General features: G+C 39.8%; 1 protein-coding gene across 1 annotated transcript in view, besides 5 other annotated features; it reads right to left on the reverse strand.

Annotated features, from left to right (window-relative positions):
* The window catches only part of PON3 (paraoxonase 3), a 36,504-nt gene that overhangs the window by 4,682 nt on the left and 9,243 nt on the right, over positions 1-22,579 (reverse strand). The window contains exons 4-5 of the mRNA NM_000940.3: positions 7,620-7,785; positions 2,809-2,935 (exon numbers count right to left, since the gene is read on the reverse strand). Coding sequence (NP_000931.1) covers positions 2,809-2,935; positions 7,620-7,785 — 293 coding nt within the window. The remainder of the gene's footprint in view (positions 1-2,808; positions 2,936-7,619; positions 7,786-22,579) is intronic.
* Positions 11,352-12,551: an enhancer, noted in NCBI's record as "BRD4-independent group 4 enhancer chr7:95005217-95006416 (GRCh37/hg19 assembly coordinates)". NCBI's record gives its function as "activates an origin of replication core promoter dependent on BRD2, P300/CBP, MED14 and CDK7 cofactors, and independent of BRD4, by STARR-seq in HCT116 cells {active_cell/tissue: HCT116}" and the evidence as "EXISTENCE:reporter gene assay evidence [ECO:0000049][PMID:35650434]".
* Positions 11,352-13,117: a biological region, named in NCBI's record as "BRD4-independent group 4 enhancer GRCh37_chr7:95005217-95006416".
* Positions 12,003-12,560: an enhancer, noted in NCBI's record as "H3K27ac-H3K4me1 hESC enhancer chr7:95005868-95006425 (GRCh37/hg19 assembly coordinates)". NCBI's record gives its function as "activates a minimal SCP1, AML or CMV promoter by ChIP-STARR-seq in naive H9 embryonic stem cells {active_cell/tissue: H9 hESC(naive)}" and the evidence as "EXISTENCE:reporter gene assay evidence [ECO:0000049][PMID:30033119]".
* Positions 12,487-12,696: a silencer, noted in NCBI's record as "fragment chr7:95006352-95006561 (GRCh37/hg19 assembly coordinates)". NCBI's record gives its function as "represses an EF-1alpha promoter that drives an FKBP-Casp9 reporter gene in an ReSE screen in phorbol 12-myristate 13-acetate-treated (for megakaryocytic differentiation) K562 erythroleukemia cells {active_cell/tissue: K562(+PMA)}" and the evidence as "EXISTENCE:reporter gene assay evidence [ECO:0000049][PMID:32094911]".
* Positions 12,561-13,117: an enhancer, noted in NCBI's record as "H3K27ac-H3K4me1 hESC enhancer chr7:95006426-95006982 (GRCh37/hg19 assembly coordinates)". NCBI's record gives its function as "activates a minimal SCP1, AML or CMV promoter by ChIP-STARR-seq in naive H9 embryonic stem cells {active_cell/tissue: H9 hESC(naive)}" and the evidence as "EXISTENCE:reporter gene assay evidence [ECO:0000049][PMID:30033119]".

A 22,579-nucleotide genomic window follows, 5' to 3' on the forward strand; every position in this document is an offset into this window, starting at 1 on the left:
CATGTTTCCACAGTAATGAGCAACTTTTATGATGATAGAGACTGTGGTCCTCCTAGGGCCCTTAATGAGGATAATATGAAACTGAGTCCCTAAATCACCTACACTGGATACATAGCATGCATGAAAAAACATAACAAACCTTGGCAGTTTTGAGCCACCAAGATGTTAGGGTTTTGCTGTCCTGTTATCATAGCATAACCCAGTTCATCTGGACCTTTATATTTTCTCTGAGTAGATGGAATTATGGGTGATATTCTTTCTTACGTTCTTCAATATCATTGACATTTTAAAATAGAGCAAGTCTTATTCTTACAATCCGTAAGAAAAATAAAGTCATTTTTATTTTTGAAAAGAAAAAAAAAGTGACTTGAAAAAATAATGCTTAAACATTTTTAGATTAAATTTTAGGGAGGAAAATTTGGGTGAATCAGGAAATACTTTGAAGTTTTGACATATAATGACTTTCCCAAGGTCACTCGGCTACTCACCTTTTGTATCTCAGCTTAAGCATTCTTTACTCCAAAAAGTATTGCCTGACATCATAAATTAGGTTAAACTGCCTCACAATTTGTTTCTGTAGCTCTCTGTTATGCCCCCTTGTAAGTGCTTATCAATGCCTGTGCCAGTGTACCCTCAGGCTCCTCTTTAGATCCTCATAGCCTCACCTACCTTGTTCCAGCTGCTGCTATTTCAACCAGTTCTGCACAGGTCTGATGTACTTCCCAGAGGGGCAGCCTAGCAGTGTCTCAGCTCATGCCTACTGTGGGCCTCTTGCCTCCCACTTCCAGATTTCATGTTGACATTGAGTCATAGGATACCACAAAACTAGACTTGCACATGCACAACAACCAAGAATGTGGGAAAATGAAGGCCTCTTGAGGCAAACCTTTGACTAATAGGAGATGGGGCTGGTGGATAAACCCTTCTCCCTTTTTCTCCTTGACCAGATTGTCCTGAGATGCAGCTTACGCTGATTACTGGAGGATAAGTCCATGATTTCAAGCAGTCAGTTAGCAGCGGTTGGCTTAATGACGCCTTTGCTGTACCTCCCTCACTGCATGTGTTTCCTAGGGCTGGCACAGCAAAGAACCACAAACTCAGTGGCTTAAACACCAGAAATGTATTGCCTCGCAGTTTTGGAGGCTAGGAATCCAAAACCGTGTTATTGGTAGGGCCATGTTATCTCTGAAGGTTCTAGGGAAGGATCCTTCCTTGCCTCTTCCAGCAAGGCATTCCAGTAGTCCCAGGCATTCCTTGGCTTGTAGATATATCACTCCAATGTCAGTATTCATCTTCACATAGCATTCTCCCTGTATATCTGCCTGTCTTCTTGCAAGGACACCAGTTCTACTGCATTAAGGGTACTCTATTTCAGCATGATTTTATCTTTACTAATTACATCTGCAATGACTCAATTTCCAAAGTGTCGCCTTCTGAGGAAGTGGTGGTTGGGATTTTAACATATTTTTTGGCAGGGGGAGTGGGGTGGGGAGGGCAGGGGGACACAAAATTCAACCCATAACCTTCTCCCTTCCTTGCCTCACACTGGTTTCTCAAGTCTGCTTCCTGGGATTGTACTCCCTAATGAAGTGGCCAAATATCAGGTGTGCCCTCAGGCTGCACTTTCTGGGAGACTCTTCCTGTGAGATCCTATGCTAAAGCAGTTGATCCTCGCAATCCACTAGTTAGGTAAGTCAGGCAAATGAGAATCCCCATTATGCTCAAGAAATTGAGGCACCAATTAAGTGACTTGTCCACAGTTTCCCAGCAACCCTGTGGAAGTCCTGTTCTCCGCTATGGCCTCAGAACCCCATACGGTGCATTAGGAGCAGAGTTCAATAACTTCAACTTCTCTTACTTCTATGCTCTGCACTCGTTTCCCCCATATTCTGTGGGGAGAAATTAATACATGATGTTGAGAAAGAGAGCAAAGGAAAGAAGATGAACTTTCTTTTCTTTTCCTATTCTTCTATCCCATGAAACAATTTACTGTTTTGGAGCCAGTTTTTTAATGTTAAGCCCATTTGATAAAAGATGAATTCTTTATTGTTTGCTACAGCCTTTAAACAGGCAGCCTCTCCACTGAAAAGCCTGTTATTTTAATGAATGCAGTAAGAAAGATGTTCATTGCAATTGAGAGCTCAGCTTTGAATTCAGATGGATCTGGGTTTATACCCTGTTTCTGCCACTTACAAATTGTGTAACTTGGGCAAGTTATCTAACCCAAACCTTCTCTAAGTCTTAGTTTACCCATGCCTATTATTAAAGGCTTTGTGAGAATTAAGTTAAATTAAGTATTCTGGCATAGTGCCTGGCACATAGTCAATGCTTAACAAATGTAATTTTTATAAGTGCCCAAGGACTTTTAAAAAATTCTACTTTAAAGCTGTAATTAAACAAAGAAGTGGCTCATCTGGAGGTTGGTTATAACACCCAGTGGGTGAGGCTCACAGAACACAACCTACTAGGACAACCAAAAAAGGGTGTAGGTGTTTAAACAGAGACCGATAGTAGGTATTGAGTTGCCGTGGTAAAGAGAATGGAATTAGAGCTGGGAATTTAATTGAGCACCTTTATAGGATTAAAATGCTTTCAAAATGCTCGAAAATATAGGCATATTCAATACCTAACATGGCAATTTCTAGTGAGGCGCTGGGAAGAGTCACCATGGGAATCATTAGAAAGCTTTAGAAAAAAATCAAAACAATTTCAAAACAAAAGTTTAAGAAAGCCTGCTGAACCAAAAAATACAAAGCACACAGCAGAGGTGCAAAGTAAATAGAACCGCACAATACTTTCATTCCATACCTTTTGAGAAGTTCATGTTTTATAGTTTTCAGGTATACCAGAGAACGTTGTTGTTCCTCAAATTTAAATATCTCCACAGTGGACTTCATGTGGGGATGATTCACAACATAAAGATACACAGTATTGTCTACATGGAAAAAAGGGATAATTTCCAAGAAAGTTACCCCTATCACAACTAATATTAGACTTGTTTTAAAACTTGGTCACTTCCAAAAGTTTTCTTCTTACATCTTGCATTTTACCCTCACAGTCTACATGATAGGTAAGTCAGACAAATGCCAGAATCCAGATTTAGTTGAGGAAATTGAAGCTCAGGAGGCGAATGATCCATCAGCAATTTCATCACCACAAAGTGGCAGAGCCAAGATGTTTTGCCATAGTCACTTCACCCTTATATGCATAACCTGTCTAACAGGAGCCTACAGAACTATAATGATGCATAAACAGGGATGTGGTTTCCCCAGATGGCCCTTCAGCAAGAGAAGTGAGTGCAAGCAAACAAAACTTTGCTGAGATGTTGTGTGTGTACAATAATTATCTACATTGCAACAGAAGCTCAGTGAATGTCAGGGCAGTGTAAACACCTTAAAATAAGCAACATTTCCCAGCTAGACAATGAATTTCTGACACAAGCCAACATAACAATATTTAGTGAGCTCAATGGACATGGCATGTAAATATGAATGCGAGATAAAACAAACTAACTAATTCTAGGTAGTACCCACCTCAGAAATGTCACCTACCCATTTCAATTGGAATGTGAACTGCTGTGAACAAGATTGAGGGTAGTAATTTGGCCTCTGAGAATGCTGTCTTCTGACTTATCAGGAGTTCTAGGTTTGATGAGCTCTGGAGTTTTAAAGGGTCTGGTCCCATCCTCCCACTGTAGGACTTGATCTGTATTCATCTTCCCTATTCCTTTCCCAAATGTAGTTTTTAAGCACGTGATGGAACAAGCCCAAACCCTGAGATGCAAAATTCATAACCAGGACCTCTGAAACACACTGGGCACTTTGATGCAAATTAAGGAAAGGTGCTTGCTCACAGAGGAAATCTTCCTTCTGGTCTGATCCAGCTCTGTTCCAAGGCTCAGGGCGTGGCAAACAGAACATGGGTTGGATTTCAGCCCCAACACGGACCTTCAGTCTTTTGCTAGACACAATAGTGAACAATCACTTGTGCTAGCCTGATTTCATTTCTTCTAGTGCATCTACTGAATCCCTCTTTCCAAATAAGATATACTTAGTGAGAGTACTTTTCTTCTCCATCTCCTCATTCCATCTCTATTTCTATATGTAATATTTTGGCCTTATGAATTAAATACATAATTAAGGGAGATGACAAACAAATAAGATAAGCTGTGAATCATAATATACTCAACTTATGGAAGCCTGATTATATGACTGTTATTGTATAAACATGTCCCATCTCAAAAACAAAAACAAAAACAAACAAAAAAAAAAAAAAGAAAGAAAAAAAGCCCCAAACCCACCTCCACCTCTACCTCTAATATGATCCCATGCAATGAAATAGTTTCAGGTAAATCTAATCACTTATTATACCATCTCCAATGCAGAATCTTATGTCTTGTACAGTGTGAGGCAAAACAGTTGCAGTTTTAAAATTATTTAAATAGAGTCCTAATCTCATTTTAGTAAAAGACACAGGATTAGAAGTGAGACCTCCTCTGTCTGAGTTCTGGATCAGCCATTTACTAATTGCAGAAGTGAAGTCACACTTCACTGCATTCCTCTAAACTTCATTGTATCCATCTATAAAGTTGAATATTACTATGTGCTCTGCCTGTCCTATAGGGTTCGTTTATTTATTCATTTGATATGTGTTCATAGAGTACCTACTGTGCATCAGATACTGTTCTAGACTCTCAGAATCCAGCAATGGACAAATCAATATGCTTTTATGGTGATTATATTTGAGAGAGGAAAACAAGGAGGAAAAATTATTAAATAAATTAAAACAAAGAATACTAGAGTGGGGAGACACGTTCTTCATAGAGTGTCATTCATTTGAAGAGTAACAGTTAAGTTTAGGAACTTGCTATAGAGCAAGAGCAGGAGAGGGAAAGAAAATTCCTATCCTTTAACATTTAAAAAAAAAAGTTACTACTGTAGGCTGGGAGTGGTGGCTTACACCTGTAATCCTAACACTTTGGGAGGCCAAGGCAGGTGGATCACCTGAGGTCAGAAGTTCGAGACCAGCCTGGCCAACATGGTGAAACCCTGTCTCTACTAAAAATACAAAAAATTAGCCGGGCATGGTGGCGCATGCCTGTAATCCCAGCTACTTGGGAGGCTGAGGCATGAGAATTGCTTGAACCCGGGAGGCAGGGGTTGCAGTGAGCTTAGATTGTGCCACTGCACTCCAGCTTGGGAGACGAGCAAAACTTCATCTCATAAAAAAAAAATTAGTTACCACCGTAATGAATGATTTTAAAAAAGAGGTACATTGAGAAGAAATATAGAAAGGTACACAAATTGGAACAAGATGGTGGGCAGGCTTCCCTGAGAAGATGATATTTAAGCTGAGTCTTCAATGATGACAAAGAGTGAGCCAGAAGTGGCAGACGGACATTCCAGGCAGAGGGAACAGCAGATGTAAAGATCCTGAGGCATGAGACACTTCACTGAATGAAAAGAAATCCAGTATGGCTGGTCCAGAGAGTCTGGAGGAGAATGGTTTCCAGTGAAACTGGAGAGCATACAGGTGCCAGAAGGTACAGGGGAAGCACCCAGGAACCCAGGCCGTTCTGGAGATTTGGGGTTTATCCTCAGAGTGACAGAACAATATGAAAAATTTGATGAAAAGAGGGACATAATCAGATTTGCATAAAAAGAAATCCTTACTATGACAATGAATTGAGGTGGTATGAGAAGGAAGGTACAGTTGGGGGCCCATGCAGAATCAGGGAAGGCATGCTGGGGCCTTGAACTGCTGGTAGCAGTGAGGATGGGGAGAGATGGACAGATATTTCAGACTGGAGAGATATTGGAGAGATACATTAAACAAAACATTATAATGAGTTGATCAAAAGGGCCAGGGAGAGGAAGTGTCAAGGTTGGGCCCAGGATTTTATTTCGAGAAGTAAAGACACCATTATATATGAAAATAGTTTGTATACTATAAACCAATGAAAAATTGTTAGATTCAATTATCTTTTAAAGCAGAGCTTGCTAAGCAAATAAAAGTGTATATAAGATTTCATGGAATTCTAGCACTTCAATTTGGTCCTCCTTTCATGTGGTTACTGTTAGTGAAGTTTCCCTGTTCTTAATTTTCTTCATGCTGTATAGACCCAAAAATATTTTAAAATTAAATGTTTGAAATTATGAACTGTGAACAAGTCAAAAATAATATTGGAAACTATTGTTTTTAAAGCATATATGGTATATTGATAACTTATGTTTTTATAATATATTTTTGAGATATAATTCACACACCACTGAATTCAGACTTTTAAAATGTAAACTTCAGTGGGTTTTAGTATATTCACAGAATTGTGCAACCATAACCACTATTTAGTTCCAGAACATTTTCATCACCCAAAAAGAAATCACCTACTCATTAGCTGTCATTCCTCCTTCCCCACTCCCCTGGCTCCTGCCAACAATTTTTCTGTCTGTGAATTCACCTATTCTGGACACTTCATATAAATGGAATCACATAATGTGTGGCTTTTAGTGACTAAATTCCTTCAGTTGGCATAATATTTACAAGCTTCATCCATATTATAGCATGCATGAGTAGTTCATTTCTTTTTATTGCCAAATAGTGTTCTATTGTATAAATACCTATCACATTTTGTTTATGAATGCATCAGTTGATAGACATTTGGGTTATTTCCACCTTTTGTATTAGGAGTAATGCTGCTATGAACATTTGTATATGGGTTTTTGCATGGATAGGTTTTCAATTCTCTTGAGCATACACCAAGGTGCAGAGTTGCTGGATTGTGTGGTAACTCTATGTTTAACATGTTGAGGAAATGCAAAACTCCTTCCCAAAGTGGTTACATTATTTCACAATCCCACTGGCAAAGTATGAGGGTTCCAATTTTTCTACATCCTTGCCAACATTTGTTATTGTCTGTCTTTTTAATTATCACCATCCTAGTGGGTGTGAAATGGTATCTCATTCTGGTTTTGATTTGTAGTTTCCTAATGTCTAAGGATGATAAACATCTTTCATGTGCTTACAGGCCTTTGTGTATCTTAGGAGAAATGTCTATCTAGGTAGATACTTTGTCCATTTTTAAATTACATTATTTGTGTTTTGTTAAGTTGTAAGAATTATTTATATTGTCTGAATACAAGTCTCTCATCTAATATATGATTTACAAATACTATCTCTCATTCTTTGGGTTGTTTTTCACTTTCTTGATGGTGTCTTTTGAAGCACAAAAGCTTTTAACTTTGATGAGTCTAATTTGTTTTTTTCCCCCTTATGTTATGTTTTTTAACGTCTCACAGTTGTCTTTAGTGACAACTAAACTAAAGGGCCTTTAGTTTACATGTTAGATTTCTGAGAACAGTATTCAAACAGGTTGTGACAGTCAAACAAGAAGACAAGTGGATAGAAGGAAGAGGAGGAGGCCACATAGGGCCAAAAATACTAGTGTTCCTTCTTTAATGCAATGTTTACAAGGTTTTATACCTATTTATCATTTAAAAAAAACACATCTGTATGGTAAAATAGCATCTTCTCTCTTCCTGTTACATAAATATTGAGGGGCTGGAGATAAATGGTTTCTATTTCCCTCATTTCCCCCTTATCCCTAAACATACAGGTTTTACCTTTGTCGATGAAAATACTGATCCCATGTGGATTAAATAATTCTTTGTCAAATCCACCACTGATTTCTAGCGCTTGTGCCCTTGGGTTTTGTTCATTCAGATCCATCAAGAAGATTTTTCCTGGTTCATCTGGCGCAAAGTTTGGCATGCCTGGATATTTTAATCCCTTTTAAAAATAAAGAACAAGTGTGCACACATATACATATCAAAACAATATTTTCATAAGGAATTTAAAATCTCAAAGCCAAATAAAAATGTTCAAAGTTCTAAATTTCATTTAGATTACTGGGCTTTTTCACTCTGTCAGCTGTTTCCATGATCTGATCTGGGGTGTTACTGATGTCATCTAAACATTGGCTATGAACACAGAAAGAACCATATTCAAGATAAGGAAGAGTTTTTAATTTAGAGAAAAGGAGTTAAGCCAAAAAAATATAACAGAAGAGACTAGGCTGTTACTTTGTGTGAATCCCTTCACATGCCCGTACCTCACATTCCTCATCTATAAAATGAAGAAGTTCAAATACATGATTATAAGATTATTTCCGGTCCTGGTATTCTATAACTAACCTTCCTCAAAGCAGAGAGAAGGGGTGTATAGTTTAATTGTATTGTTCCCATTCCTACATCGATTATATCATGTAGTGGCAAACAGTATAGCTGGCTAAGAATTAACATAAGGATACCAGTCTTATATAGTTGACTATTTTTGACCTATTTTGTTCCTATAGGTATGTCTGAAAATTCTGACATGAATGCTTTACTCAAACATCACAAAAAGTTTATTCCAGTAACTTGGACAGTGGTCCTTTCTACTATTAGGATCAGGTAGCTATTAATCAACAATAGGCATCCTGAATGCATGAAGCCTTTGCTGCATCTGAGTCCACTGTGACAAACCTTGGGGTTGGTTTATTCTACACCAGTTACAAAACAGTCCACTTCCTCTCCATGTCCCCTATCTATCACTGGATATATATCAATATCAATAACTTTATATCTTCTCTGCTACCTTTATCTTCTTTTACAGTCTATTGCAATTCTCTCTTTCCTATTTCACCTTGTCTTTCTGCCTCTTTCCCTCTCCCTGTCCTTTCTACACACACGTACACATACACTTATGATACTATTACTGGCTCTTCCACTGCTCCCTCTTGAGGTAGTCAATCTTTTCTGAACAACCCCAGCTATATCTTCAAACTTTTTTTAGAACAGTCCTTCTATGCCCAATTCGTATGTCCCAATGTTGTCTGAGGGAAACCTGGCTTTTCCCAGACAACACCGGCACTACTGAAGCTCATCAGAGGAGGCACTGTTCCCTCTTTATTCTCCTTAAGTCAGCACATCTGGAGAAGGGATTGGCATGTCCCTAGCCACAAACTTCTGCTTCCAGACCATAATCCTGTCGTCATCAATAGCTACACCCTTTGCTTCCTTATCACATTCTGTGCGAACTCCCTTTGCCTTGGTCTAGCTCTTATATAGGGCAAGTCTAAAATCAGATTGAAAAACTCCACTACAAAGTCACTATCCCAACTTCAGCCAGACATTTAGTACTGTTTATTGATTTTTTTGGCTCATTATGATAGGCAATCTATTGGATTTCCTCATGTCTCACTTCTAAATTTATTTCATTATCTTCTAGAGTAGGGGTCCCCAACCCCTGTGCCACAGACTGGTACCTGTCCGTAGCCTGTAAGGAGCTGGGCCTTACAAGGAACAACAGGAGGTGAGCTGCAGGTGAGTGAGCATTACCGCCTGAGCTCCACCTTCTGTAAGATCAGCAGTGGCATTAAATTCTCATAGGAGTGCAAACCCTATTGTGAACTGAGCCTGCAAGGGATCTAGGTTGGATGCTCCTTATGAGAATCTAATGCCTGATGATCTGAGGTAGAACAGTTTTATCTTGACCATTCCCCACTCCCCCTCCATGATCTGTGGAAAAAATTGTCTTCCACGAAACTGGTCCCTGGTGCCCAAAATGCTGGGACCACTGTTCTAGAGCCCATACTTTCTTCCTCTTTATTATGAGTGGATGACTTTACTTACTACTTCTCTGAAAATGTCATGTCATTTAACATGAATTTCCTATAATTCTTTCCTTTCTGTCCCAGTAATTCTTCTTCAGTTTTATTCATTCTCTTTCTTTCTCCCTCTTTTCTCAAGTAAGAAATGTCCCTCCTCTGTTCTTAGATTAAATCCTTTACCTGCTTTCTTGGTTCCCTGTTCTCTAGGGTCTGTCTCTAGAGATTACACCCTCTCTCTCTTGCTTTACCACTCATTTTTCACTAACAGCTTCTTCTTTGGCCTAAAAAATTACAAGGTTTCCTTCCTTGAAATAAATATTTTCTTAACTTTACTGCCTCTTCATATATGCATTTATCTCTCTTCCCCTCACCATCAAATTTCTTAGAAACATCACCTGATCTTATTGCCTAATGTGAACTGCTCCAACTCTCAATTCCCTGAAGTTAGTATTCCACTCCCACCAGTTTGTAGAAATACCCTTATAAAGATCATATAAATGGTCTCCAAATTACTTTATTTTGATAACTTTTCTACTTCTGATCTGCTTCTCTGTGGCATTTGACACTACAGTATACCTTCTTCTTTCTTATCAAAACGTCAAAAGTTGAGTTCCCAGATAGAAATCCTGCTCCTCTTCCTGACTCTTGGATTTATACCTCCTTCTGTTTTTATCGATCCCTCCTCCCTTCTCACTCTATACTCTTTCCTTGCAGATCTTATACATAAAGATTCAGGTATTTCCTTTATATCAAGGACTTTCAAGTCTGCACATTTATTTGTAACTCTGTAACTCTAGCTTGCCTTCCCAACCTCCTCCCAAAGGGCAGCTCAAAATCAACTAGTCAAAACCAAAATCAACACTCTCCCCTCGAATCCATCCTCTCATTTATATCTATTCTTCTCAGTTAAGGACATCACTATGCTCCCCAACATCAGAACATAAAATTCAATTTTCAGTCTACTCTTTTCCCCATAACCAATTTGTCACCAAGCTCAATGGCTCAGATAATAGTAGTACTGAAGAAAAAATTTAATGTATATATGTATATGTATACATATATATATGTATGTGTGTATATATGTACGTATATATGTATATGTATACATATATATGTATGTGTGTGTATATATGTATGTATATATATACACACTCACATATGTTAAAAATAAAAAATATATAATAATTATATACATATAAATATATTAGGGGCATCTTATCTCACATCTTCCCTTTCACATGAGGGAAATGAGGCCTAGAAGAGTGATTTGCCTAAATCACTCAGATCATTTATTGTTCAGACTCTCTCTGCCACACATACAGAAAGGTTTGGAAGTAAACAGTATTGCTCAGGAAGGCAGCTCAAGACAGAACACAATGGCAAGTACCTTGGTAGCTTGGGGGAAGGTGGAGCATAGCCAGCTAGTGAAAAGACTGGATGTTACAGAAATAAAATAATCTGATAGATAGATAAGGGCAGGGCACTGCAAACAAGCTTGGTCTAGATTAAGTGTGATGATCAAAGAAACACTTCTGATAAATGGCTTCACATTCACCTAGTTTTCTGTGTAAAGCAGTTAGGTAGGAATTTGTGGCAGCAAACCAACTGTGTGTTAATGACTGTAAGCAATTCTTTTCATACCATTCACTGGTGAAAGTGATGAAAATCATCATCTAGACATGCAGGAATCTTATTTTTCCCAACAAACTACAGGTAAATGTGGACAATCAATGAACTCTTCCACTATACTCATCCATCACCACATGAACTCAGTAAATATTCGAGGACTTGCAAATGCCTGGTAGTATGTTCGGTGTTGGGCATGTCAATACATGTTCCAAAGTCTTGAGTTCAAGGATCTTGAAACCTAGAGCAAGCACTTAAGTATGGTGTGGTCTATAACAGCCTAAACTCAGGGGATGTGAGGGAATATTCAAGAGGGAACATTGAAGAGGCACCTCACCCCACAAGAGAGTGCCAGGGAAGACTCTCCTGAGGAAGTAAAGTGCCACCACAATGAACCCTCACAAAGAAGTGGGAGTTAGCTGGCAAAGTGTGAAGAAGGGAGTAATCTTGGAGTCAAAGAGAAGCATGTCAAGTCCCAAGGCAGGGAAGAAAATATCCTGTTTGTCATCCCTAAATAGACTAGAAATATCTATTGCACAGAATTATTCTCCAAATCAGCAACTTCCAAACATCTTCTAGGATGGCAAGAAAGGGTAAAAGGAGAAACCAAAAGAACAAGGTCCTGAATTTATTACAGTGCAGAAGGATTAGAAACAAGCAAAACAACAGAATCCTTATCCTATAAGTTGTTTGTTCATTTACAAAAGGAGATCCATTATTTAAAACTTCATGTTAACATTTCTCATAAAATTATTTGTGATGAAAATATATACTTCCTGTATAGCAATGATTCAGAACTTTTAGTTCCAGTGAAAATTAAAAAAAAAAAAGAAAACATACAGTAGGAAGGACAAACATTATTTCACAACAGTAAAGAAATTTCCTAGTTATAGAATCATCACTTTTAGTGGTATATTTGGCATAACATTGAAAATTTAAACTGAAAGGAAGCTTCCAAGATGGCGGAATAGGAACAGCTCCGGCCTGCGGCTCCCAGTGAGATCAACACAGAAGACAGGTGATTTCTGCATTTCCGACTGAGGTACCTGGTCCATCTCATTGGGACTGGTTGGACAGTGGGTGCAGCCCATGGAGGGCAAGCCAAAGTGGGGCAGGGCGTCACCTCACCCAGGAAGTGCAAGGGGTCAGGGGATTTCCCTTTCCTAGCCAAGGGAAGCCGTGACAGTCTGTACCTGGAGGAACGGTACGCTCCTGCCCAAATACTGTGCTTTTCCCACAGTCTTTGCAACCAGCAGACCAGGAAATTCCCTCCCGTGTCTGGCTCGGCGGGTTCTACGCCCACAGAGCCTTGCTCACGGCTAGCACAGCAGTCTGAGATCAACCTGCGATGCTGCAGCTTGGCAGGGGGAGGGGCATCCACCATTGCTGAGGCTTGAGTAGGCGGTTTTGTGCTCACAGTGTAAACAAAGAGGCCGGGAAGCTTGAACAGGGCAGAGCCCACCACAGCTCAGCAAGGCCTACTGCCTTGCTGTAGATTCCACCTCTGTGGGCAGGGCAAATCAGAACAAAAGGCGGCAGACAGCTTCAGCAGACCTAAACGTCCCTGTCTGACAGCTCTGAAGACAGCAGTAGTTCTCCCAGCATGGCATTCGAGCTCTGAGAACAGATAGACTGTCTCCTCAAGTGGGTCTCTGACACCCATGTAGCCTGACTGGGAGACACCTCCCAGTAGGGGCTGACAGATACCTCATACAGGCGGATGCCCCTCTGGGATGAAGCTTCCAGAAGAAAAATCAGGCAGCAATATTTGCCGTTCTGCAGCCTCCACTGGTGATACCCAGGCAAACAGGGTCTGGAGTGGACTTCCAGCAAACTCCAACAGACCTGCAGCTGAGAGGCGCGACTGTTAGAAGGAAAACTAACAAACAGAAAGGAATAGCATCAACATCAACAAAGAGCACATCTACACCAAAACCCCATCTGTAGGTCACCAAACAAAAACCACAAAGATGGGGAGAAAGCAGAGCAGAGAAGCTGAAAATTCCAAAAACCAGAGTGCCTCTTATCCAAAGAATCACAGCTCCTTGCCAGCAAAGAAACAAAACTGGATGAAGAATGAGTTTGACAAGTTGACAGAAGTAGGCTTCAGAGGGTCAGTAATAACAAACTTCTCCGAGCTAAAGGAGCATGTTCTAACCCATCACAAGGAAGCTAAAAACCTTGAAAAAAGTGATACAAATGGATAACTAGAATAAGCAGTGTAGAGAAGACCTTAAATGACCAGATGGAGCTGAAAACCAAGGCATGAGAACTTCCTCATGCATGCACAAGCTTCAATAGCCGATTTGATCAAGTGGAAGAAAGGATATCAGTGATTGAAGACCAAAGTAATGAAATAAAGTGAGATGACAAGATGAGAGAAGAGTGAAAAGAAACGAACAAAGCCTCCAAGAAATATGGGACTCTGTGAAAAGACCAAATCTACGTTTGATTGGTGTACCAGAAAGTGACAGGAAGAATGGATCCAACTTAGAAAACACTCTTCAGGATATTATCCAGGAGAACTTCCCCAACCTAGCAAGGCAGGCCAACATTCAAATTCAGGAAATAAAGAGAACACCACAAAGATACTCCTTGAGAAGAGCAACTCCAAGACACACAATTGTCAGATTTACCAAGGTTGAAATGAAGGACAAAATGTTAAAGGCAGCCAGAGAGAAAGGCTGGGTTACCCACAAAAGGAAGCCCATTAGACTAACAGCTGATCTCTCGGCACAAACCCTACAAGCCAGAAGAGAGTGGGGGCCAATATTCAACATTCTTAAAGAAAAGAATTTTCAACCCAGAATTTCATATCCAGCCAAACTAAGCTTCATAAGTGAAGGAGAAATAAAATCCTTTACAGACAACAAATGCTGAGAGATTCTGTCACTGCCAGGCCTGCCTTACAAGAGCTCCTGAAGGAAGCACTAAACATGGAAAGGAACAACCAGTACCAGCCACTGCAAAAACATGCCAAATTGTAAAGACCATTGATGACATGAAGAAACTGCATCAATTAACGGGCAAAATAACCAGCTAACATCATAATGACAGGGCCAAATTCAAACATAACAATATTAACCTTAAATGTAAATGGGCTAAATGCCCCGATTAAAAGACACAGACTGGCAAATTGGATAGAGTCAAGACCCATCTGTGTGCTGTATTCAGGAGACCCATCTCATGTGCAAAGACACACATAGGCTCAAAATAAAGGGATGGAGGAAGATCTACCAAGCAAATAAAAAGCAAAAAAAAAAAAGCAGGAGTTGCAATCCTAGTCTCTGATAAAACAGATTTTAAACTAACAAATATCAAAAGAGACAAAGAAGGCCATTACATAATGGTAAAGGGAACAATTCAACAAGAGTTAACTATCCTAAATATACATGCATCTGTCCAAGATGGCCAAATAGGAACAGCCCCAATCTACAGCACCCAGCATGAGCGACACAGAAGACTGGTGATTTCTGCATTTCCAACTGAGGTACCGGGTTCATCTCACTGGGGCTTGTCAGACAGTGGGTGCAGGACAGTGGGTGCAGCGCACCGAGTGTGAGCCGAAGCAGGGTGAGGCATCACCTCAGCCGGGAAGTGCAAAGGGTCAGGGAATTCCCTTTCATAGCAAAGCAAAGCTGTGACAGACGGCACCTGGAAAATCAGGTCACTCCCACCCTAATACTGCACTTTTCCAATGGTCTTAGCAAACAGCACACCAGGAGATTATATTCCGTGCCTGGCTCGGAGGGTTCCACACCCATGGAGCCTTGCTCATTGCTAGCACAGCAGTTTGAGATCGAACTGCAAGGGAGCAGCGAGGCTGGGGGAGGGGCGCCCGCCATTGCTGAGGCTTGAGTAGGTAAACAAAGTGGTCAGGAAGCTCGAACTGGGTGGAGCCCACCGCAGCTCAAGGATGCCTGCCTGCCTCTGTAGACTCCACCTCTGGGGGCAGGGCATAGCCGAACAAAAGGCAGCAGAAACCTCTGCAGACTTAAATGTCCCTATCTGACAGCTTTGAAGAGAGTAGTGGTTCTCCCAGCACGCAGCTTGAGATCTGAGAACAGAAAGACTGCCTCCTCAAGTGGGTCCCTGACCCCTGAGTAGCCTAACTGGGAGGCACACCCCAGTACGGGCAGACTGACACCTCACATGGCCAGGTACCCCTCTGAGACGAAACCTCCAGAGGAACAATCAAACAGTAACATTTGCTGTTCAGCAATATTCGCTGTTCTGCAGCCTCCGCTGCTGATACCCAGGCAAACAGGGTCGGAGTGGACCTCCAGCAAACTCCAACAGACCTGCAGCTGACGGTCCTCACTCTTAGAAGGAAAACTAACAAACAGAAAGGACATCCACACCAAAACCCCATCTGTACGTCAGCATCATCAAAGACCAAAGGTAGATAAAACCACAAAGATGGGGAAAAAACAGAACAGAAAAATTGAAAATTCTAAAAATCAGAGCACCTCTCCTCCTCCAAACGAATGCAGCTCCTCACCAGCAATGGAACAAAGCTGGATGGAAAAGGACTTTGATGAGTTGAGAGAAGAAGGTTTCAGACAACCAAACTTCTCTGAGCTAAAGGAGGAAGTTCAAACTCATGACAAAGAAGTTAAAAACCTTGAAAAAAGATTAGATGAATGGCTAACTAGAGTAACCAATGCAGAGAAGTCCTTAAAGGACCTGATGGAGCTGAAAACCATGGCATGAGAACTACGTGATGAATGCACAAGCTTCAGTAGCCAATTCGATCAAGTGGAAGAAAGGGTAACAATGATTGAAGATCAAATGAATAAAATGAAACAACAAGAGAAGTTTAGAGCAAAAAGAATAAAAAGAAATGAACAAAGCCTCCAAGAAATATGGGACTATGTGAAAAGACCAAATCTGCGTCTGATTGGTGTACCTGAAAGTGACGGGGAGAATGGAACCAAGTTGGAAAACACTCTGCAGGATATTATCCAGGAGAACTTCCCCAACCTAGCAAGGTAGGCCAACATTCAAATTCAGGAAATACAGAGAATGCCACAAAGATATTCCTCGAGAACAGCAACTCCAAGACACATAATTGTCAGATTCACCAAGGTTGAAATGAAGGAAAAAATGTTAAGGGCAGCCAGAGAGAAAGGTCCAGTTACCGACAAAGGGAAGCCCATCAGACTAACAGCTGATCTCTTGGCAGAAACTCTACAAGCCAGAAGAGGGTGGGGGCCAATATTCAACGATATTAAAGAAAAGAATTTTCAACCCAGAATTTCATATCCAGCCAAACTAAGCTTCACAAGTGAAGGAGAAATAAAATCCTTTACAGACAAGCAAATGCAGAGAAATTTGGTCACCACCAGGCCTGCCCTACAAGAGCTCCTGAAGGAAGCACTAAACATGGAAAGGAACAACCAGTACCAGCCACTGCAAAAACATGCCAAATTGTAAAGACCATCGAGGCTAGGAAGAAACTGCATCAACTAATGAGCAAAATAACCAGCTAACATCATAATGACAGGATCAAATTCACACATAACGATATTAACCTTAAATGTAAATGGGCTAAATGCTCCAATTAAAAGACACAGACTGGCAAATTGGATAAAGAGTCAAGACCCATCAGTATGCTGTATTCAAGAAACCCATCTCATGTGCAGAGACACACATAGGCTCAAAATAAAGGGACAGAGGAAGATCTACTAAAGAAATGGAAAACAAAAAAAGGCAGGGGTTGCAATCCTAGTCTCTGATAAAATAGACTTTAAACCAACAAAGATCAAAACAGACAAAGAAGGCCATTAAACAATGGTAGAGGGATCAATTCAACGAGAAGAGCTAACTATCCTAAATATATATGCACCCAATACAGGAGCACCCAGATTCATAAAGCAAGTCCTTAGAGACCTACAAAGAGACTTAGACTCCCACACAACAATAATGGGAGACTTTAATACCCCACTGTCAATATTAGACAGATCAACGAGACAGAAAGTTAAAAAGGATATCCAGGAATTGAATTCAGCTCTGCACCAAGCAGACCTAATAGACATCTACAGAACTCTCCACCCAAATTAACACACTATACATTCTTCTCAGCACCACATTGCACTTATTTCAAAATTGACCACATAGTTGGAAGTAAAGGACTACTCAGCAAATGTAAAAGAACAGAAATTATAACAAACTGTCTCTCAGACCACAGTGCAATCAAACTAGCACTCAGGATTAAGAAACTCACTCAAAACCACTGAGCTACATGGAAACTGAACAACCTGCTCCTGAATGACTACTGGGTACATAATGAAATGAAGGCAGAAATAAAGATGTTCTTTGAAACCGACGAGAACAAAGATACAACATATCAGAATCCCTGGGACACATTTAAAGCAGTGTGTAGAGGGAAATTTATAGCACTAAATGCCCACAAGAGAAAGCAGGAAAGATCTAAAATCGACAACCTAACATCACAATTAAAAGAACTACAGAATCCAGAGCAAACACATTCAAAAGCTAGCAGAAGACAAGAAATAACTAAGATCAGAGCAGAACTGAAGGAGATAGAGACACAAAAAACCCTTCAAAAAATCAATGAATCCAGGAGCTGGTATTTTGAAAAGATCAACAAAATTGATAGACCACTAGCAAGACTAATAAAGAAGAAAAGAGAGAAGAATCAAATAGATGCAATAAAAAATGATAAAGGGGATATCACCACTGATCCCACAGAAATACAAACTACCATCACAGGATACTATAAACACATCTATGCAAATAAACTAGAAAATCTAGAAGAAATGGATAAATTCCTCAACACATACACCCTCCCAAGACTAAACCAGGAAGAACTTGAATCTCTGAATAGACCAATAACAGGCTCTGAAATTGAGACAATAATTAATAGCTTACCAACCAAAAAAAGTCCAGGATCAGATGGATTCACAGCCGAATTCTACCAGAGGTACAAGGAGGAGCTGGTACCATTCTTCCTAAACTATCCCAATCAATAGAAAAAGAGGGAATCCTCCCTAACTCATTTTATGAGGCCAGCATCATCCTGATACCAAGGCCTGGCAGAGACACAACAAAAAAAGAGAATTTTAGGCCAATATTCCTGATGAACATTGATGTGAAAATCCTCAATAAAATACTAGCAAACCAAATCCAGCAGCACATCAAAAAGCTTATGCACCAAGATCAAGTGGGCTTCATCCCTGGGATGCAAGGCTGGTCCAACATACACAAATCAATAAATGTAATTCGGCATATAAACAGAACTGAAGATAAAAACCACATGATTATCTCACTAGATGCAGAAAAGGCCTTCGACAAAATTCAACAGCCCTTCATGCTAAAAACTCTCAATAAATTAGGTATTGATGGGACATATCTCAAAATAATAAGAGCTATCTATGACAAACCCACAGCCAATATCATACTGAATGGGCAAAAACTGGAAGCATTCCCTTTGAAAACCAGCACAAGACAGGGATGCCCTCTCTCACCACTCCTATTCTACATAGTGTTGGAAGTTCTCGCCAAGGCAATCAGGCAGGAGAAAGAAATAAAGGATATTCAATTAGGAAAAGAGGAAGTCAAATTGTCCCTGTTTGCAGATGACATGATTGTATATCTAGAAAACCCCATTGTCTCAGCCCAAAATCTCCTTAAACTCATAAGCAAATTCAGCAAAGTCTCAGGATACAAAATCAATGTGCAAAAATCACAAGCATTCTTATACACCAATAACAGACAAACAGAGAGCCAAATCATGAGTGAACTCCCATTCACAATTGCTTCAAAGAGAATAAAATACCCAGGAATCCAACTTACAAGGGATGTGAAGGACCTCTTCAAGGAGAACTACAAACCACTGCTCAACAAAATAAAAGAGAACACAAACAAATGGAAGAACATTCCATGCTCATGAATAGGAAGAATCAATATCGTGAAAATGGCCATACTGCCCAAGGTAATTTATAGATTCAATGCCATCCCCATCAAGCTATCAATGACTTTCTTCACAGAATTGGAAAAAACTACTTTAAAGTTCATGTGGAACCAAAAATGAGCCCGCATTGCCAAGTCAACCCTAAGCTAAGAGAACAAAGCTGGAGGCATCACGCTACCTGACTTCAAACTATACTACAAGGCTACAGTAACCAAAACAGCATGGTACTGGTACCAAAACAGATATATAGACCTATGGAACAGAACAGAGGCCTCAGAGATAATACCACACATCTACAACTATCTGATCTTTGACAAACCTGATAAAAACAAGAAATGGGGAAAGGATTCCCTATTTAATAAATGGTGCTGGGAAAACTGGCTAGCCATATGTAGAAAGCCAAAACTGGATCCCTTCCTCACACCTTATACAAAAATTAATTCAAGATGGATTAAAGACTTAAATGTAAGACCTAAAACCATAAAAACCCTAGAAGAAAACCTAGGCAATAACACTCAGGACATAGGCATGGGCAAAGACTTCATGACTAAAACACCAAAAGCAATGGCAACAAAAGCCAAAATTCACAAATGGGATCTCATTAAACTAAAGAGCTTCTGCATAGCAAAAGAAACTACCATCAGAATGAACAGGCAACCTACAGAATGCAAGAAAATTTTTTCAGTCTACTCATCTGACAAAGGGCTAATATCCAGAATCTACAAATAACTCAAACAAATTTACAAGAAAAAAACACCCCACCAAAAAGTGGGCAACGGATATGAACAGACACTTCTCAAAAGAAGACATTTATGCAGCCAACAGACCCATGAAAAAATGCTCATCATCACTGGCCATCAGAGAAATGCAAATCAAAACCACAGTGGGATACCATCTCACACCAGTTAGAATGACGATCATTAAAAGTCAGGAAACAACAGGGCTAGAGAGGATATGGAGAAATAGGAACACTTTTACACTGCTGGTGGGACTGTAAACTAGTTCAACCTTGTGGAAGACAGTGTGGCGATTCCTCAGGGATCTAGAACTAGAACTAGAAATACCATTTGACCCAGCCATCCCATTACTGGGTATATACCCAAAGGAATATAAATCCTGCTGCTATAAAGACACATGCACACGTATGTTTATTGCGGCACTACTCACAATAGCAAAGACTTGGAACCAACCCAAATGTCCAACAATGATAGACTGGATTAAGAAAATGTGGCACATATACACCATGGAATACTATGCAGACATAAAAAATGATGAGTTCATGTCCTTTGTAGGAACATGGATGAAACTGGAAACCACCATTCTGAGCAAACTATCGCAAGGACAAAAAACCAAACACTGCATGTTCTCACTCATAGGTGGGAATTGAACGATGAGAACACTTGGACACGGGAAGGGGAACATCACACACTGGGGCCTGTTGTGGGGTAGGGGGAAGAGGGAGGGATAGCATTAGAAGATATACCTAATGTAAATGATGAGTTAATTGGTGCAGCACACCAACATGGCACATGTATACATATGTAACAAACCTGCACATTGTGCACATGTACCCTAGAACTTAAAGTATAATAAAAAATATATATTTTAAAAAGTATATATACATGCATCCAATACAGGAGCACCCAGATTCATAAAGCAAGTCCTTAGAGACCTGCCAAGAGACTTAGACTCCCACACAATACTACTGGGAGACTTTAACACCCCACTGTCAATATTAGACAGATGAACGAGACAGAAGGTTAATAAGGATATCCAGGACTTGAACTCAGCTCTGGACCAAGCAGACCTCATAGACATACACAGAACTCTTCACCCCAAAACAACACAATATATGTTCTTCTCAGCACCACATCGCACTTATTCTAAAATTGACCACATAATTGGAAGTAAAACATTCCTTAGCAAATGCAAAAGAACAGAAATCACAAACTGTCTCTCAGACCACAGTGCAATCAAATTAGAACACCAGATTAAGAAACTCACTCAAAACTACACAACTACATGGAAACTGAACAACCTGTTCCTGAATGACACTGGGTAAATAATGAAATGAAGGCAGAAATAAAGATTTTCTTTGACATCAATGACATCAAAGACACAATGTACCAGAATCTCTGGAACACATTTAAAGCAGTGTGTAGAGGGGAATTTATAGCACTAAATGCCCACAAGAGGAAGCAGGAAAGATCTAAAATCGACACCTAGCCCATTTACATTTAAGGTTAGCATTCTTATGTGTGAATTTGATCCATCACCATGATGCTATCTGGTTATTCACGATTAAAAGAACTACAGAAGCAAGAGCAAACAAATTCAAAAGCTACCAGAAGGCAATAAAAAACTAAGATCAGAGCAGAACTGAAGGAGATAGATACATGAAAAACCCTTCAAAAAATCAATGAATGCAGGAGCTGCTCTTTTGAAAAAATCAACAAAATAGATAGACCACTAGCAAGATTAATAAAGAAGAAATGAGAGACGAATCAAATAGGTGCAATAAAAAATGATAAAGGGGATATCACCACTGATCCCACAGAAATACAAACTACCATCAGAGAATACTAAAAACACCTCTACACAAATAAACTAGAAAATCTAGAAGAAATGGATAAATTCCTCGACACATACATCCTCCCAAGATTAAACCAGGAAAAAGTTGAATCTCTGAATAGACCAATAACAGGCTCTGAAATTGAGGCAATAATTAATAGCCTACCAACCAATGAAAGTCCAGGACCAGATGGATTCACAGACAAATTCTACCAGAGGTACAAAGAGGAGCTGGGACGATTCCTTCTGAAACTATTCCAATCAATAGAAAAGAAGGAATCCTCCATAACTCATTTTATGAGGCTAGCATCTTCCTGATACCAAAGCCTGGCAGAGACACAACAAAAATAGATAATTTTAGGCCAATAACCCTGATGAACATTGATGCGAAAATCCTCCCTCAAAAAAATACTGGCAAACCGAATCCAGCAACACATCAAAAAGCTTATCCACCATGATCAAGTCAGCTTCATCCCAGAGATGCAAGGCTGGTTCAACATACACAAATCAATAAATGTAATCCATCACATAAACAGAACCAATGACAAAAACCACATGATTATCTCAATAGATGCAGAAAAGGCCTTCGACAAAATTCAACAGCCCTTCATGCTAAAAACTCTCAATAAACTAGGTATTGATAGAACGTATCTCAAAATAATAAGAGCTATTTATGACAAATCCACAGCCAATATCATACTGAATAGGCAAAAACTGGAAGCATTCCATTTGAAAACCTGCACAAGACAAGGATGCCCTCTCTCACCACTCCTATTCAACATAGTATTGGAAATTCTGGC

Source organism: Homo sapiens, chromosome 7 (assembly GCF_000001405.40).
Source record: "Homo sapiens chromosome 7, GRCh38.p14 Primary Assembly".
NCBI lineage: Eukaryota > Metazoa > Chordata > Mammalia > Primates > Hominidae > Homo > Homo sapiens.